Source organism: Homo sapiens, chromosome 3 (assembly GCF_000001405.40).
Source record: "Homo sapiens chromosome 3, GRCh38.p14 Primary Assembly".
NCBI lineage: Eukaryota > Metazoa > Chordata > Mammalia > Primates > Hominidae > Homo > Homo sapiens.
The window spans coordinates 66,175,631-66,195,840 of NC_000003.12; the positions used below are offsets into that span (position 1 = coordinate 66,175,631).

General features: G+C 43.0%; 1 protein-coding gene and 1 long non-coding RNA gene across 3 annotated transcripts in view; one reads left to right on the forward strand and one right to left on the reverse strand.

Annotated features, from left to right (window-relative positions):
- The window catches only part of SLC25A26 (solute carrier family 25 member 26), a 245,318-nt gene that overhangs the window by 42,021 nt on the left and 183,087 nt on the right, over window positions 1-20,210 (forward strand). The gene's annotated exons all lie outside the window — the stretch shown is intronic.
- Window positions 1,471-19,865, reverse strand: LOC107986095 (uncharacterized). 2 transcript variants are annotated; one of them, XR_001740742.2, is made up of 4 exons: window positions 19,609-19,865; window positions 17,275-17,317; window positions 3,269-3,437; window positions 1,471-3,097 (listed from the first exon to the last, which is right to left on the reverse strand). It is a non-coding gene; the product is annotated as an uncharacterized LOC107986095 (long non-coding RNA). The 2 variants fall into 2 exon arrangements; XR_007095953.1 differs by lacking the exon at window positions 17,275-17,317.

A 20,210-nucleotide genomic window follows, 5' to 3' on the forward strand; every position in this document is an offset into this window, starting at 1 on the left:
AAGTTGTAGTCTGCAGGCTGGCAGGCTTGAGACCTAGGAAACACTGACATTTTCACTGAAGTCCAAAGGCAGGAAAAAACCCAGTGTCTCAGATAAAAGGCAGCGAGGCAGAAGGAATTCTCTCTTACTCTAGGGAGGGCTAACCTTCTGTTCTATTCAGGCCTTCAACTGATTGCATGAGGCCCACACACATTAGGGCGGACTATCTGTTTCACTCAGTGCACTGGTTTAAATGTTAACCTCATCTGAGAATACTGTTTGACCAAATATCTGGGCATCCATGGCCCTGCCAAGTTGACACATAAAATTAATTATCACCCATACAGACATGGCATAATATCTATCAACAGGAACCACTCAGCAAAACAGTAATGGTTGTTAAATTAAAAAAAAAATTTCCTTTAATAATTAGAAAACCATCAATGCACTTGATCCTTTTGCTTGAACATGATGTTTGGAAAAATGGAATCTTTGAAAAAACACACCTGGCTAATGCTTTTAATCTTGAAATTGGTACCCTACCCAGTTGTTAGGGTAGTGTTTCATTGTATGTTTGGTATGGAGTACAAGAATAAGCTACATCTCTAATTAATTGTTTTGAAAAGCCATCTATGCATATCTATAGCACAGAGTTCTTTAAGAAAAAAATATTCTGGTGTCTTCCATCGAAACTAAGAAAGTGTTGAGATGTTATATAAGCATAAAGAACTAGGAATGATGAACGCTCTTGTAGCCAGAAGGGGGAAAACACAGAGGAAGTGTGTGGATGGTGGCATCCTTTAGAAGTGACAGTCCTTGCTTCCTATAATGCTCAGCTCTAATATAAATGCAGTGTATGCCTCGCAGCCTAGTAAATCAAAAATACATTTGAACCTTATTGATTAACTAAAAAAAATCAAATCAGTCTTCTAAAACCTATTTGCAGTTACAGGATATTACCTAAAAATTGAGACTATTGAGGGGAAAAAACGGTAGCCAGAAAACAGGGTGTTAGAGTTTAGCAAGTCTCAGACTTTTGTGTTTACTTGACTCATGGTTTGAAAGTCTAACATCAGATCATACCTAACCAATAACATAAAAGGTATTATTTGTGGATGGGACGCAAAAGACACCTCATATTGTTATTTCTCCTAAGGGTCCTCTCCTGATTTGTAGAATCCGATGAGTGTTTTATTTTTGGTTGCCTTAATTGGGGAAGGGGTGAAAGGTGGTGAGATGAAAAGGGAAGGCCCTGGGAAATCGACCTTCTTCCCAGAGACAGCATGAAAGGGTAGAGGGATCTAGTCTCTATTTCTAACAGATAATTAAGCCTGTTATCCTGATGATAAATAACCTTCGTAGGTCTTTTTCTGGCCCTATAGAGTAAAGTCTCCCTCTAGCTACAAAGGCAATTAAGGTAAACAAAATCACACTTAGGCAAAAGTGAGATTATGGCTGGAGTCTTCCAGAAAATAACTATCATCCTCTGTCTCCCTTTGGCATTGGAAGCCTCATATGTTTAATCAAAAGAAAGGCCATCTGGGTTGAGGGAATGGGCAGTTAACTGGGTTCACTGAGAACTGCAAATACGCTGGGCACCACAGTGAAGTCAGCTGACATGTTCTCTGCCCTGCAGAATGTTGGCAATGCTGACATAGTTGGACTGAACACAATAGATTATCATGTAAGTTTAAGCAATCTGAGTGACAATGACAAGTAACAAGAAGGCTCTGAATATAGAAATTATTCCAGAGAGATGACTGGAAAGAATGGAGTTTTGCACATAAAGAGAATCACAGCAGACTCCTAGCAATTGTGAAGATACGGAAAGTTTTCATCAGCAACAACCCACAACACTTCCTAGTTTCTCCCACTCACCCTTTGAGCTACTGACCTCTTCCTTACCAACTCCTTGTTCCCCCTCCACCTCACATTAAATCCCCACTGTTGCCTTTTGCCCTATGTAGAGCCTATGCTGTGGGTCCCTTTATTTCTCACAACACACCCATCGTCTGTCCTGTGACTGCCCAGGGGATGGGAAGGAGTGAGATAAATAAGGGACCTGAACACTGTATGAAACCACCTTAGGTTGTGGACTCATCCTTTGAAGAGTAATGCAAAGTAAAGCTGACTTTTTAGATATGAAGTAGGAGTCAACACTTTACCGTAAATTTACTGAGCATCTACTATGCGCTGGAATTTTAGAAATACATGTGGCTCATTCCCTTGAACTGTAATCTGGTATAGGCCACCCAGAAAGGTGTTGACTTTTTCATGCTGCTGGGCAGCTGCTCTTTTATTCTACATACAGAAAAGAATGTGGAAAGATGAATGGCGTAAATAGCATTGATATTGTGTGTGTGTTTGTTTGGGGCTGTAAGAGATGGGTGACTTCAAAGATGGCGACCCCTTGTTTGGAATTTTCTAACTGAGACAGCTCGTGGGAATTGGAAAACTTACTCTCCCCATCATTCGTTGAATTTCAGGAAGCAGGGCAGCACTACTCCATATAGTCAAGTCAGATTCATGTGTAAGGAAGACAGAGGCCTGCTACTAGCTGTTGTCCAGCTTCAATGGTCCTAGCTGGAGGCCAGGTTCAGATGGCCCAACAGTTCTAGGTGGGTGACTGAGCCCCAGGGAAGTGTGCACTGTGTTTCTTTCCTGTTTTCCTTCAGCACCTGTTCTGAAGCCTTCCTGGCTCATGGAAGGGATAGTCTGAAGTGTGGGGAAGTCAGTGCCCTGAGGCCATCTTCAACCAATGGGGAAGAGGAGCTGGCAGATGAAGGTTCCATCCCCGCCTCCTGGGGCAGCGTTTCTGGGCAGCGTTTGGTGCACTTTTCGTGAGGTACTGACAGACGTTGTCCCTTGTTGTCCAAGCTCAGTAGCAGTTTCAGTAATGTACATTTATATTGGCTTCCACTGCCCACCGCCCCACTTCCCTCACTCTTACTTTCTGGGTTCTCCTGATAGACTAAGAGCATACAAGTCCTTATCTTAGGGAGTCCCAAACTGAGACATCGAGGGAGTAGCATTCCCTGATAACATTCTGTAAGGTGTTGAGATTCTAGATGTCTCTCAGTTACTTTGATTTGTTAACGTTATGAATCATCTTGTCCTGCTAATTAAAGAGATGGAAATTGTTTTAAAAATTAAAAATTTTTAAACGCCAGCAAGTAACATAGAAAGAAAACCTTCAAGAAAGTATAATGCAGAAGGAAAAATTAAGTTGAAGAATGATACCGTCAGGTATGTATATAATTGTTTAAAGACACACAAAGCAATATCTTACGTTATCAATGGCTGCTCATATTTGTGGTCAAAGGATGTTTTCCAAATTCCTGGTGGTGGTGGCTTTGGGGAGGCAGACAGGAACATGAGGCTTGCAAGCAGCATAGAGAGGATTTCAGCTTTATCTGTACGTTTTGTCATATATTTGAAAGCAAAGATTGAAAGGACAGCTGAAAAAATTGTTAACATTAGCTTGTTTTAGTTGGGAGATACAAGAACATTTGTCATATTTTTCTCTCTTACGCGTTTTAAAGTTTTCCCAAATTAGATAAAAAGTTAAAGCAGCTTTAAATGTTTTTAAATGAAATTTGGCAAGTTCAAAGCTTTGAAAAAAATTAAGATGACCTATAAATGTAGCATCAAGCTCCAAGCAAAATTGCCGATTTGATATTGATATGTTTCTCCAGATGTTTTTTCTAATTTAATGTGTGTTGATTTGAAATGCAACTATGCGTTAGTCTTGCTGTATCTTCAGACACTCAGAAGTCTCCTTGTTGACTATGGCAACATTATGAAACGTTTCCCCCTCAAATTCATAAGGCAATGTAAGTCCAGCTAACAGAGAAATTTAAAGAGTATATCTAATTTATTTTCCGAAAATGTAAGATTAGCACTGTGAGAGTAAATATGGGATATGACTTAGTTCACAGTCACATAGATAAGGTTCTCAAAGTAAAGAATTTCTGTTCTTTCCAATGCAGAATTTTTACTGGGAATAAATCAAGTTCAACTATACTTCTATATTTCCTCTATCGTCCCTCTATAGAACTATAACATATACGCTTTAGTTTATCTTCCATAAGAACTTCTTGTTACTGGGCTTTTTTTTTTCTTGTTATGATTACAAATAGCCTTCATTACATTTGCAAACTAAATCCAGAGTTTGGAGTCTTGTGCATGGCTGCAACTTGGTATTATTTAGTATTATTGTTATTAATATACATGCTGGGAGACAAGAGAACATTTTGATAAATATTCATAAAATGTGCCAGATTGATGCATAGTTACAGTATCTATTTGCACAAAGCAATGCCATGAACATATGACTCACAAGTTCTGAAGTCTGATACTGTTAGATAGATTGATGCTGGTAATTTATCATGTGCCGCCAGGAATAGGGAGATGCATTGCAAAACCCTTTACTGGCTTCTGGCATCCAGGCAACAAACTCCTCTTGCCTTTCTCTCTTTGCCCTCAGATTCATCAGCATCTCTGTGAAGTAGGATTCAAGGATGAAGTCAACCTAAAACTTTTTCTCTAGGTTTCCAGGAACAGACTGGGAGGCGTAGTTATGAGCAGACCTAAACAGAAAACACTACGGGGATACAACCACAATTTATTTTCCTCTGAGGCTTTTTTAAAAAAAAGAACCCACACTTTTGCATGCTGCAAATCTTTCTTTCTCTGTCTCCCTTTGACCCCAACCCCTACCACATGGGAACCAGAAATAATAAGTTTCTAATGGCCTAGGAGAAGCCAATGCAGGGGCAGGGAACATGCCGCAGAGCAACGGAAGTGATTTCAAAACTCTTGACTCCTTCAGACCCACCAGCATCAGAAACTATAAATAGGAATGGCTGGCAAGAGGGAAAGGTGGGACAGATCTTTCCACTTCTTCAGAATGCTCTTGAGCAGGAGGCAGAGAACAGAAACATGTTCAATGTTTTGCACAAAACTTGCTTCGTTCCTTCACAGCAGAGCTGCTTGGCATTATGGGAGAGCAAGTTATCTGGGCAGAAGTCAGAGCTGAAAAATTTTGCTGCAGTGCCTGTTGTTGACCTGATGAGATTTTTTTAAAAAATCCTTCACTGGGGGCGGGGTGGGGGACAGAGAGGGGAAGTAGACAAACTTTTTATTTTTTGGAGTATTTATCTATTGCTTGTCTGTTATGGAATGAAACGTGTCCCCCTCAGATTCATGTGTTGAAGCCCTAACCCCCAGTGTGACTGTATTTGGAGACAGGGCCATAAGGATGTAATTAAGGTTTAATGAGCTTGCAAGAGTGGGGACCTAATCCAATAGGACTGGTGTCCTTATAAGAAGAGAAAGAGACACCAGGAGTGTACATACACAGGAAAAAGGCCATGGGAGGACACAAGGAGAGGGCAGCTGTCTGCAAGCCAGGAAGAGAGCCTTCACCAGAAACCAACCCTGCTGGTACCTTGATCTTGGACTTGCAGCCTTCAGTACTGTGAAAAAATAAATTTCTGTTCTTTAAGCTGCTTGGTCTGTGGTATTCTGTTTGGCAGTTCTAGGCAACTAATACAATGTCTTTTAACACTGAAAGGCAGATTGAAGTTCACTTGTGTATGTGACAAGGCATTGGATACATATTAAGGCCTAGCAGGTAGTGGAGTGGTTAAAAGAATTGGCTGCTGGACTAAGGTAGGCCTGGTTCAAATCCCAGTTGATCACTTACTAGTAGTGTGACCTCCAGCAAATTACTTTGTGTCTTTATGTTTCCTCATCTGTAGGAGAGTAACAATAACAGCTTATATCTGCAAGATTGTTGTGAGGTTAAATACTTTAATGTATACAGAGCATGTCGTAGTTACTGGCAAACGGCACCCTAAAAAATGCTAGCTACGACACTGAGCACCTCATTTGTTTATAGTAGTTTCAGTTTACAAAGTACTTCCATAGCTATTATTTCATTTGATTTTTACAGCAATCTTATGAGATTAGTTGGGAAGGAAATCTTACACCCACTCAAGGGAGGAAGAAACCAAAATTCAGAGAGGAAAGGAACTTGTCCAAGCTCAAATTTCTAAGAAAAGTAGAGCCAGGCTTCAAATCCAGATCCCCTGACTCCAACTTCAGTGCTTTCCTCACTAAATTTGCAGTCCCTCTGAATTCCTCCTTCCCTGATCCCCTCCCCTTGTCTTTTTTTTTTTTTTTTTTTTTTTCACCAAACATGTATTGAGTTTCTATCACATTCCAGGCATTTCCTCTTCTTTCCCTGGACCTGCGTGTCTTTTCTCTTGTTCGTTTGGACCTGGATGTTGTGTGTGTGTGCATGAGCAAGCCTGCCTGGGAGCGTGCCCGTGTGCCCACATTTGGGCATTGAGGGCTCTCATTCTCCCTAAGGGTGGCCTTGCCTTGTTTTAGCTCAAAGACAGCACTTGGCTTTCAAGGATATATTATAAATAGAGCCTTGACAGCACTCTCTTTTCTTATCTGAAAACTGACACGAAGCACAGGCAACTAGGACAAAAAGAAAGAGAACAGGGTCCGTGGTGGAGCAGATAATCAATATCTTTAAATGATTCGAGAGCAGAAATTCCCAAATGGGAGGTGAGAAGAGACCTGAAAATGACAGCCTGAGGAAGTTTGTTGGGCTCTCCTAGGGAGTGAGTGGTAGGGCGCGGTGTTTGAAAAAGCAGATTTCATATTGCAATTTGTTATTTAGAAAAATGTCCCCCAAAAGCTGTTATTCTCATAGTACAAACTATAGAAATTAAAGCTGTCCAGAACCTTTTTGACCTTTGGGATTATGTAAGAGTTATGGCAATTCCCAATGAAACGGGAGGCGGCCTCTGAATTGTGAGAGCTGAGATCATCACCGTGTATTTTTAGCCATTAGGGATTTGAATCTAAAAAGCTGGAAAACACTGTTTCATAGAGTCTTCAGAAAAGAAGCAAGGCCTAAAAGTTGCAAGGAGTCAATGCTTGAAAGGTTCCCATAGAGTTTGAAAAGGCCATAAAACCTAACTCCCCTATTTTACAGATGAGGCAACAAGAGAAGTCGCTGGCACAAGATCTAATGCTTATAACAGGATTGGCTGAGCCCAGCATCGGCCTCAACCTGCAGTGGGCGGCGGGGGGGGGGGGTGGGGTATCAGTAGAAAAGACCAGGGAATCTCTGACAAGTCGTCCTCTGCTCCTAATAAAGAGAATTAAAATGTGCCTTTAGGAGGCTGGGACCAACCCCAGGTCACTAGCTCAATGAGCCTGAAGGATGCAACTGGGGAGGCATTTGGAACACAAAAGCAGATACTCCTGCTGTTCTAGATGGCTTCCTAAGAGCCAGGGTTCTTCAGGTCGGTCTTTCCAAGGACCTAAAGTAGTAGGTTGGACAGCAGGGGATGCGGAGGATCAATGAAGCAGCTGTTGGCTTTCGGTGCATATAAATAATGCACCTCTAAGGCCTAGGGTGTGTTTTGGTTATTCTATACAACAAATACCCAAAAAGTGTTGGTGACCCTTGGCCTTGCATTTCCCCAGACTCTGACCCACACCCTGACCTTGACCTGACCCTCAGCCTGAAGCTGACCCTGAACCTAATCCTTTCGCTGACCCTGACCCTGATTTTGAGCCTCCTGTTGAACCATAGCCTCAGCCTGGCCTGCCATTCACTCTGACACAGGACATGACCTTGTCCTTCATCCTGTTTCTCACACTACCATGACTCTCAGCTATGCTCACCCAGACTCTGACCCTGACATGGACTCAGATTCTCACCCTCACAATGAACTTGTCTATAGGCAGACTCTAACTCTGAGGCTAACCCTATGCTCACCCTGAATCTGATCCTAATCTTGAACCTGACTCTCACCGTGTCCCCGAACATATGGCCCTCACGCTGACTCTGACCCTCACACTTACCCTCTCAATTTAACCCTACCCCTTACCCTGATGCTGACATTGACCTTTATCGTGATGTTGACCCTGGACATATACCTCACACTCCTTCTGAATCTGACCTTAATCCTCACCATGACATTCACAATTACTCAGATCCTGAATCTGACCTTCATCACGATCTTGACCCTGACCTTGATCTAGATACTCACATGACTCTCTTCCTGACTGAACTCTGACCCTTAACCTGAACCTCACACTGATTCTCACCATGACCTGAGCTTGACACTGAACGTGATGCTAAATAAGCACCTGACCCTGAACTTGGCTCTTACCCTGATTCTACCTTCATCCTCACCCTCACCCTGAGCTTTGTCTGACCCTTACCTTAATTTTTTCCCAAACCTTAATTTGAACCTGACACTTATCTAATGTTGACTCTGACCCTTACCCCTAACCTACTAGACACTCAGTCTGACACTAATTTTCATTCTCACACTGGTGTTGACCCATACTCTTACCCTTACCCTTTCACACTCACCTTGAACCTGACCATAAATCTGGCCCTGTCTCTGAACCCCACCCTAAACTTTAACCTTCAGAAGACCCTGCTCCACACCCTCCCCGTGACTGAGACCCTGAATCTGCCACTGTCTCTCAATTTCTCATCCTCACTCTTACCACAGCTCTAATACTTATTCTGACCCTTACCCTCACTCTGAATTTGTCCCTAACCCAAAACCTGTCTCTGACACTGACTTTCACCCTGAACCTCACCATAACTCTGACCCTTGGACTTTCCCACCCTCATCATGACCCTGATGAAGCTATGACCCTGACTGTAGCCCTTACCCTCACCCTGATATGAACAGTGACTCAATCCCGACCCTGACCCAGACCATCACCCTATCATACTGGTCTTAAATTCATCCTCACCCTGAACCTGACCCAAATTCTGACCCTTATCCTTGTCCTGATCATCACTATGACCTTGAAAAGACCCTGACACTCACAGTGACCATCAAATGATTCTACTTCACCACTACCCTAACACTTTAGCTGGGCCAGACACTCATCCTCATCAGGACCGTTATGTTCACCTGACTCTGCTCACCTTGAGTTTACTATGTATTACATGCTCAACCAAATCCTCACTCTAAACCTGACCCTGACCTTTATTCTGATGTTCACCCTAAAATTGGCCCTCATCTGGCCCTCCCTCTTGCTCTCATCTTGTGTCCATGATCCTGCCCCTAAAAGTATCTCTGACTCTGATATCATGCTGACATTGACTCTAACCATCCCACCCCTCTAAAGTTACCCTAAACTTAAATTTCAACCTGTCCCTGGTCGTGACCCTGACCAACAACTCAACTTTGACCCTGATCCTGACCGTCAACCTGACACTGACTCTCACCAAGACTCTGACATTCACACTGATCATCAAACTGACTATACTGAGTCTGGCTTTAAAAAGTTGTGGTAAAATAAATGTAATATAAAATTTACCATCTTAAACATTTTAAAGTATACAGTTCAGTGGCACTAAGTACATTCACGTTGTTGTGCAACCAATCTCCAGAACTCTTTTCATCTCACAAAACTGAAACTCTGTACCCGTTAAATAACAACTCCCTCTTTTTTCCTTTCCCAGACCCTGGCAACCACCATCATAGTTTCTGTCTCTATAATTTTGAGTAATCTAAGTATATAGGTGGAATCATACAGTATTTGTCCTTTGGTGACTGGATCATTTCACTTAGTATAATAACCTTGAGATTCATCCATGTAGTAGCATGTGTCAGAATTCCCTTCCTTTTTAAGGCTGAATAATATTCGGTATATACCACATTTTATTTATCCATTCATCTGTCCATGGACACTTGGGTTGCTTCTACCTTTTGCCTGTTGTGAATAATGCTTCTATAAACATGAGCGTTCAAGTATCTCTTTGAGACCCTACTTTCAATTCTTCTGTATATATACCTAGAAGTAGAATTGCTGGATCATCTAGTAATTTTTAATTTTTTGAGGAACCAACCATATTGTTTTCCATAGCGGCTGTGACCCTATCTTTTATGCTGAACTTTACCTGACCCTGTCCTACATCCTGACCTTAACAATGACCTTCTACCTGATTTTTAACCTGAACTTCACCCTGAATGTGACTATCATGCTGACCCTAACCATGGCACTGTCTTGACTTTTACCATGTCCTTACACTGTGCTAGAGCCTGACCGTGGCCCATACTATTAACCTCACACTGACCCTGACTCTGTATTTTATACATATACTTACATTCACCCTGACTCTCACCTCTCTTTGACCATGACTTAGACCCTGAAATTAACCCCTACCCTGTATCTAAATTTGAACTAGACTTTTACTTTGATCTTTTTCAGACCTTTACCATGAATCAGACCTCAACTTAACCCTTACCTCACCATGATTTTACCTTCACATTCACCCTGATGTCAAGACTAAAGCTGACCCTTATCCTCACACAGAACATGACCCTGACCCTCACCATGACCCTGTCCATGATTCTGACCCTGACACGCATCCTGACACCGATTCTGATTCTCACCCTCACAATAAGCCTGATACTAACCAAGACCCTGATGCATACCTGACCCTATTCTTCATTCTGGCCACCCGATACTTACTCTGATCCTTAACCTAAACCCGCGTGATATTGACCCTCTATCTTGTCCCTTATCCTAAACATGACCCTCACACTGACCCTGATTTCCACCCTTATGAAGACCCTGACCCTCAACCTTTCATACTGACTGTCATCATCATGATATTATCTCACTCTGACCCTGACCCTAAACTGGACTCTGAATCTGACCCTCAACTTGTTCCTGACCATTATCTTCCCTTTCTCCATTGACCTTAAATGAAATCTGACCATGATGACACCTTGAAACTGACTGACCTCCCTGCTGCTGAACTTGACCTTTATCTTATYCCTCAACCTCACCTTAATCATCACTCTGACCCTGACCAGCACTCTGACATTGATCCTGAACCTTACCTGACCCTAACCTTTACCCTGACACTGACCCTTAACCTGATCCTTATCCTAAACCTGACCATAAATTTGAACTTGACCATCAATCTGACCCAGATCATAAATATGAAAACAATTGGGACCCTCACCATATCCCCAAACCTGAGCTGACTGAACTTGATACTGACCATAACCCTGACCACCTTCATCCTTACTCTTACCCTGAGTCATATCATGACTCTCACTCTTACCCTGACCCTGACCTTCACACTGAACTGACACTCAACCTGACTTTGAGTCTCACCATGGCCCTGAGCCTGACTTTGACTTTATCCATGACACTCAGCAAGACTCTGATATTCACTCTAACCTTAACCCTGACCTGACCATGTCCCTGAGCTTGCTTGTGAACTTTAACCTCTACCTGATCCTCACCCTCTACTTGGCCCTAACCTTATCATGATCCTGGCCCTGATTATCACCCTGACCTGACCAACATCTTGACCTGATTCTGACACTCAAGCTGACCATGATATGGATACTATTCTCACATCAGCCCTGATCCTCAACTTCACCCAGAGCCTTGGCCAACTCCAATCTTAATCTTGACCCTGACCCTGATCCTCAACCAGATACTTTTCTGACCTTACCCTGAACTGTTTTGCATCTTGACCTTGACCCTGACCCTCACCATGACACCATCCATGATCCTTATCATGTCGCTGAACCTGATCTTGAGTGTGATCTTCACCTTCACCTTGACCTTCACACACAGCCTTACCCTTCCCCTGACCCTCACCTGAAAGTGATTCTGACCTTGGATCAAATCGTATACTCACCCAGGCCTCATCCAGAATTGGACCTTTATGATGACTCTTATTCTCACTCTGAACCTGACTTGCACCTAACTCTCATCTTTACCCTTACTCGGATTTGGCCATCACCCTGCATATGACCCACATCTTGAAACTTACCCTTATCCTTATAGTAATCCTCACTCTGATAGTGACTCACACAAAGACCCTGATATTCATGCTATCACCCTGACTCTACCCTTACCCTGGCCCTGAACTTTACCCTGAACCTTAACTGACCCTGACAGTCAACCTAATCTTTCCTCTGAAACCCTCATGCAAACCTTGACCCTAACTGTACCAATGACATTCTCATCAATCCTTCTATTTCCATATAACTTGACCCTGACCATAACCCCTACACTCACACACACCCACACCCTGACCAACACCTTGACTATGAACTGGACCTTGTCCCTGAGACTCATCCTGATCATGGCCCTTATGCTGACCCTCACAATGACCCTGACCCTCACTTTGACCCTCAATCTAATATTAACCCTTATCTTGAGAATGAAAAGACTCTGAAGCTGAAGCTTACCCTGAACATCGTCATGACGCAACCCAGACTCTAACTTTTATTCTCACCCTGAACCTATCCCTCACCACATACCTGATATTGGCTGCCATGCTGACTATGACCCTCCTCACTATTACCATGTCTCTGACCTTGACTTAGAACCCTATCCTCATGATCATCTTGACCCTGAGACTCAGCTAACACTGAACGTCACTCTAATCCTCTCACTCACTGTAATCTTGATACAAACCCTAACCTGAACCCTCAAATGTATCATGACCTCACCATGTCCTTGATCCCGTGCTTGACCTTGTCCCTACCTTCATCCTGACTTTACTCCTCACCATGATCCTGATGCTGATCTTCACCTGCAACCCCAAACTTTCTCTGACCCAGACCCTTATATTTATCAAGTTTCTGACTACAATGATTTGAAAGTTTGTCTCCTCCAAACCTCATTTTGAAATTTGATCCTCAGTGTTGGAGGTGGGGTCTAGTGTAGGTTGTTTTGGTCATGGGGGTAAATCCCTCATGAACAGATTAATGCCCTTCCTGGAGTATGCAGAGGGAAGGAGGGGAATGAGTGAGTTCTTGCTCTATTAGTTCCCATGAGATCTGGTTGTTAAAAGGAGCCCGGTACCTCCCCTTCTACTCTCCCTCACTCCCTCTCTCTCCATGTGATCTCTGCACATGTGACTCCCCTTTGCCTTCTTCTATGAGTGGAGGCAGCCTGAGGCTCTTGCCAGAAGCAGATGCTAGTGCCATGTTTTTTGTATAGTCTGCGGAACTGTGAGCCAATTAAACCCCTTTTCTTTATAAATTACCCAGCCCTCAGGTTTTCGTTTATAACAACACAAAATGGACTAAGACACTGACCTGGTACTTAGCCCCACCCCCACCACGATTAACACCCTGGCACTGTATCTGACTCCCTTACTCTTCAAACATTACTGTCCTTGATAATCAACCTGACCAGACCCTGTTCGTCACGCTGAACCTGATGCCCTAGCCTTGACCTTTACACCACCCTTACCTTGAACCTGACCCTCACCCTATTGTGATGCCTGATCCTTACAATGACCCTAATCTTTAATTCTTACCTCACAACGATGCTGAACCTGATTGGATTCCTCATCCCAACTCACATCTGGATACTCCTCATCTAGATACACACATCATTTCTCCCCTGAACAATGACTGTGCCTGTGCCTCATCTTCACTTTCACCTTGATCCTGATCCTAAACCTCACCTGGCCTTGAACTTCATTCATACACTGACCCTTATTTGACCTCATTCTTACTCCAACCCTCATACTGACCCTTATGTTGACCCTGACCCTGACCTTAACCATCACCCTGACACTGACTCTGAAATATACACCCACTCTCACTCTGACCCTGTACCAGACCCTCTGCACCTCACCCTATCACTAACCCCCTCACTGACCCTGACCCCCAACTTGATCCCCAAATACACCCTCAGATGCTGATCCTAATACTGATTGTGATACTGCTCCTGACACTTACCATATCCTAAAGCTCACCATCATCATGACATTTACGCTTAACCTCTCCCTGTCTGTGACCCCCTCTCTCTGACCCTTATTGTCACCCTGACCCTTATAATGATTCTGACTCTAATAATGACCTAACCATCACCAAGTTGAGTTTGAACATGAAATCTTATACACTCACACTCTAGTTTCTTTTGGATTTCTTACTGTTCTCAATAAGAATGTGCTTTTGAGAACTAATTCTCAACTTGTTTACACATGTACTGTGTGCTTTCTTTTCTTTTCTCTTTTCTTTTCAGACAGGATCTTGCTCTGTTGCCCAAGTGGGAGTGCATTGGTATGATCATGGCTCACTGCAGCCTCAACCTCCTGGGCTCAAGCGACTTTCCCTCCTCAGCCTCCTGAGTGGCTGGGACTACAGGCATGCACCACCACTCCTAGGTAATTAATTTTTTTTTTTAAATAGAGACAAGGTCTTACCATGTTGCCCAGGCTGGTCTGGAACTCCTCAGTTCAAGTGATCCTCTCACCTCAGCTTCTCAAAGTACTGGGATTACAGGAGTGAGCCACTGCACCCAGCCTACTGTATTTTTCAAATATGCTGCTTTGATATGTGGTCTCCCTCAAAGTAAGAAACTACAGTTGAGGCTGGGTGCAGTGGCTCAGGCCTGGAATCCCGGCACTTTGGGAGGCCGAGGCAGGTGGATTGCTTGAGTCCAGAAGTTTGAGACCAGGCTGGGCAACATGGTGAAAAGCCATCTACAAAAACTAATTTTAAAAAATTAGCCAAATATGGCGGCATAAACCTGTAGTTCCAGCTACTTGGGAGGCTGAAGTGGGAGGATAGATTGAGCTTGGGAGGTAAAGGTTGCAGTGAGCTGAGATTGCACCACTGCACTCCAGCCTGGACAACAGAGTGAAACCCTGTCAAAAAAAAAAAAAGAAAAAAAGAAAAGAAAGAAACTGCAGTTGAGAAAAATGTGTAGTTCTTATTGATTTGCCTCAGGTAAAGCATAGGTTAATGCTAACAGTTAAGAATTTTATCTATTTTATTTATTTTTTTGAGATGGAGTATCACTCCGTCACCCAGGCTAGAGTGCAGTGGCACAGTCTCGGCTCACTACAACCTCTGCCTCCTGGGTTCCAGTGATTTTCCTGCCTCAGCCTCCCAAGTAGCTGGGATTACAGGTGTGCACACCCGCACCTGGTTAATTTTTGTATTTTTAGTAGAGATGGGGTTTCACCATGTTGGCCAGGCTGGTCTCAAACTCCTGGCCTCAGGTGATTGACCCGCCTCAGCCTCCCAAAATGCTGGGATTACAGGCATGAGCCACTGTGCCTGACCAGAATTTTCTTTAGAGACAAGTGTCTGATTTTTTCTTTAATGCTAGTCTGTTCACATAAATACAATTTTCAATGATATCTGCTTTAACTCGCAAGAAATTACTGTTGAGGACAGTGTGTAAATATGAACTCATTTTCACATATATAGCATAGGTTCCTCTTATCTTGTTCTGATTCACAGGAAGAAATTGTAATCAAGATGAATATGAGTTTCTGAGTTTTTTGGAGTCAAATAAATCTTAAATACATCTTGGTTTAGGCAAACAGAGGTAGCATTGAAAACAATCTGTATTAGTGCATATAAGCTCAGTTTCAGACATTCCTCTCAAAAGAAACTTTATTGCTTCTTAGGGTAAACTGAGATGGACATAAGCACATATGAGTATGTGTCATTCATTGCAAAGGCACAGCCCTACTGTAAGGGACAATAATAAGGACGAGTCTAAGCAGAAGTACTGAAAAGAATCCACTGGCCTGGGCAATGTGGCGAAACYCCATCTCTACAAAAATACAAAAAACTAGCCAGGTATGGTAACACACACCTGTAGTTCCAGCTACTCAGGAGTCTGAGGCGGGAGTATTGACTGAATCCAGGAGGTTGAGGCTGCAGTGAGCTGTGACTGTGCCACTGCACTCCAGCCTGGGTGACAGAATGAGTCCCTGACACACACAGACACACACGCACACAGAATCTGTATTAGCATCAGCAAACTCAGTTTTAGACATTCCTCTCAAAAATATCTCCTTATTGTTTCCTGCAGTAAACTAAGATGAATGTAAGAAGAACAACACATATCCATCTAAAAGGTGTATTCTTTTTTTTCAAGGTAGGTATAGACTGAATGTTTGTGTTCCCCCCAAATTTGTAAGTTAAAATCCTGGCTGGCTGCAGTACCTCATGCCTGTAATCCCAGCACTTTGGGAGGGTGAGGTGGGTGGATCATTTGAGGTCAGGAGTTCAAGACCAGACTGGCCAACATGGTGAAACTCCATCTCTACTAAAAATACAGAAATTAGCCAGGCAGTAGTGGCACGTGCCTGTAATCCTAGCTACTTGGGAGGCTGAGGCAAGATAATTGCTTGAGCCCAGGAGGTGGAGGTTGCGGTGAGCGGAGGTTGTGGTGAGCCAAGATTGTGCTACTGCACTCCAGCCTGGGTGACAGAGCAAGACTCTGTCTCAAATAATAAAAAAAAAAAGTTAAAATTCTAACCCCCAATCTGATGGTATTAGGAAATGGGGCCTCTAGGTCCTGAAAGTGGAGCCTTCCTGAATGGGTTTAGTGCCTTTATAAAAAGAGATTCCAATAGGCCAGGTGCAATGGCTCACGCCTGTAATCCCAGCACTTTGAGAGGCCGAGGCAGGCAGATCACGAGGTCAGGAGTTCGAGACCAGCATGTCCAGTAATGGTTAAACCCCATCTCTACTAAAAATACAAAAATTAGCTGGGTGTGGTGGTGGGTGCCTGTAATCCCAGCTACTCAGGAGGCTGAGGCAGGAGAATCGCTTGCACCTGGGAGGCGGAGGTTGCAGTGAGCCGAGATTGCACCACTGCACTCCAGCCTAGGCAACAGAGCAAGACTCCATGTCACAAAAAAAAAAAAAAAAAAGAGAGAGAAATTGCAGAATTTGCTCCCTCTCTCGACCCTCCAGCATGCGAGGGTATGAGAAGACAGTTACCTGTAAGCAAGGTAGAGGGCTTTCTCCAGATACGGGATCTGCTGGTGCATTGATTTTGGACTTCCCAGCCTCCAGAACTGTGAGAAATAAATGTCTGTTGTTTCAGCCACTCAGTCTACGGTATTCTGTTATAGCAGCCCAATTGACTAACGCAACAGAGCAAAGGAGAATGAATCTAAGTAGTAGTATTAAAAAGAATTTGTAGTAGTACAATCAGGCTCGGCCTCAGACATTCCTATTAGAAGTCCTTATTGCTTCTCAGAGTAAAGCAAGATAAATGATAAGACAGTAAAATACATATCAAAGGCACATTCTTACTAGAAAGAAAAAAGATAAAAATACACTGTTTATTAAACCTCATTTTAATTGTCTCTTCCTTCTTAAAATGTCAGTGGGTTAACAAAATATGTAAATGCCTTTGGATAATAAGACATATTTGTGTATATTTGCCTTCTCAAAGCTTTTAATTAACATGAGATAAATGCTCATGAAAAATTACCTAGGCAGTTTTTTACTTTCTATCCTGTAGATGTCTCCTATGTCTGGAGGAAAAAAAAAGAAAGAAAAGAAATATTCCCTTAATTAGAGATAGTAATTAACAAAGACAGTTCGTTATACTAGGTACAAGGATTGCAGAGAGATACAGGTATGTATATATAGGATTTTCTGTTTGTATATTTTTAAAAGTTGTGTAGTTCACTCATATAATAAATTTAATATAATACATACTGCTTTATTTAGTATACTGACAATTATGCTTTAAAGCTATAGTTTAAAACTTTAAATTATTACCTATTTATATTTGTATGTCTTGATGCATACAAAAAGGGAATATATCCTTTACTACAATTTGTTATATAAATAATATACCAAAAGAATAAAATTAGAATTTAGGTCTTTTGCATGAGGTGACTTATTTTATGCCCAGGTCAACAGAGGTTCCTTTTTTTGTCAACAAATTGTTCTACTGCTTTTGTATTCTCTACAACTATCATCAGAGATTCCCTTGGATAACCTTGACCTAATTTTATTTGATCAAAGTTAAAATGCTATCATGGAGTGAAATTCACCCTTAAAACATAGACAACTTCCAGAAATTAAATCAGTTCAGATAACTAACATCATTGTCCTTATCTGGGCTTGGCAGCTCACAAATAAATAAATAAGCAATTATTTATGCTGATAGTAAATGTGTTTTGGGGGTAGTCCACAAATTCAGAATTGTTTAGAAACAGAGATGTTTCTAACCTTGAAAAAAAAAACTTACACCAATTAAATGACAAATTAAAGAACTTTTAGATGCTTTGCTATTACCTAAGAAAACAGCTATCATAAAAACACAGTCATTGAAAAGACAAGACCTAGAAACTCATGGTAATGCTTTGGCTGGCCCCTATGCTAAACAAACAATATTAACCTAGATAAACAGTCCTATCATCACACGGACAAGAAAAGTCTTGGAGAAATTCAGAGAGGCTGTTCCTAACTGTCAGAAACAAGTCTCTAATTCAATTTAGGATGATCATTAGATGATCACCAGGATGGTCAACTGAGCGTGCCTCAACACTTGAAAATGGAGCTTAACGAAAATTCTTCATGATGTAACCATAAAGGAACGATAAGTTGACAACAATATTAGACCAACACTGGTGGCTTAATTTTAGATGTAGCTGCCAAGGATGTGTTTGAAAATGTGTCTTATCTGCCAGTGACACATCCTGATAAACTGCCAAGGTGGGCTCATGGACAGGAATCAAAGCCTCTATGCCCCTTTAAATACCTCCAAATGGACTTCATACAAATACCTTTTACAATGAATTATAAATATGTTTTGCTCATTGTGTATTTATTCTCAGGGTGGACTGAAGTTTTTCCTTGCTGGAAAGCTATTCCATGCTGGGTTGGGGGTTGAAAGGGTTCAGGGGATGGCTTGGTTTTGTTTTCCCACCTGGGGAATTCCCATTTATCTCTCCAATGACAGAGGTGCTCATTTTACTAGAACTGCACTGAAGTACTTTTACACAGAAACTTCACTGTCCTTATCATCTGTAGTCCTCAAGATGAACAGAGAGAACGAATGGAATTTTATAACTAAAATTAGCAAAGCTCTCAAAACCTCTTAAACTCCCATGGCAGAAAGCATTACTATTAGCTTTCATATCTAAAATCAACCCTCTCTAGGGTCCTTATTCTGCAAGGATGAAAACTCTTTTTTTGAGACGGAGTTACGCTCTTGTCGCCCAGGCTGGAGTGCAATGGCACGATCTCGGCTCATCGCAACCTCCGCGCCCGTTCAAGTGATTCTCCTGAGTCAGCCTCCCGCATAGCTGGGATTACAGGCATGCGCCACCACGCCCAGCTAATTTTGTATTTTTAGTAGAGACGGGGTTTCTTCGTGTTGGCCAGGCTGGTCTCGGACTCCCGACCCCAGGTGATCCGCCCTCCTCGGCCTCCCAAAGTGCTGGGATTACAGGCGTGAGACACCGCGCCGGGCCCAAAACTTGCTTAAAGGAACGGGTGGTTGGACCCTGTGGTCTACCTGGGGTCCCCACCCAGCCACTCACCCACTCCTCCCCTTGGTGGGGAAGGGAGGGAGGTGAAACAGAGCTGTCTGCCCACCCCAATCCCACCTCCTTTACCAGTGACCCAGTCACGGATTTCAAGTTTAATGCACCCGGAATCCTGCAATTTAGTTCTTTTGGCATAAGTCACCTTCCCACTGCTCCCCAACGCATGCTCGCAATTATGCTGTACTGCCACTCTTGGCAAAGTTTTCAGAGAGTAGCCTCCGCCCCATACCCCCTACCCAGAATCTGCAGTGGGCAGGACTCACCGTTGCTAGGAAACACCCGCTGTAATCCCTTTGACCCTGTCCTGTGCTGATCTTTGGGGGAAAAGCCCCCTGCCCAACTATTGAGCATGCACAGACTATTCCAGGTGCAGCTGCTGCCAAATTGCTGTTCTCCAGGAACCCGCGGTAGGGAGCCATCCGCAGCCCCGGGAGTGCCTGCTGCAACGGCCTGACAAGGATTAGGGATTAACGGGGAGATCTGCTGCATCCTCTTCTTTCCTCAGTAGGAAGAACGACACAGGAGGCAGGGTTGGAGGCTCAGCTAAAAACCAGATTCCCACCACCTGTTCCTTCAAGCAAGTGCGCTTGCGCCGGGCAGGCCCTCGGGCTAGCGTCTGGCTGATGGGTGGTGCTGCCGAGCGAGGAGCGCACGCGCTCGGCGTCTCCATCTTCTGGTTGTGTGGTCCGTATTTTAGGGGTGTATTACAGTAGGTGCCGGCATTTTAAAATATGAACAAATAAAATTAGGTCAACACTATCCAAAGGAGTCTCAAAAGAATGGTTGAAGAATATGCAAAAAGCATTGAGAATTAACAGAATAATTTGGTGACAAAAGAAACCTCTATTGATCTGGGGATAAAAAT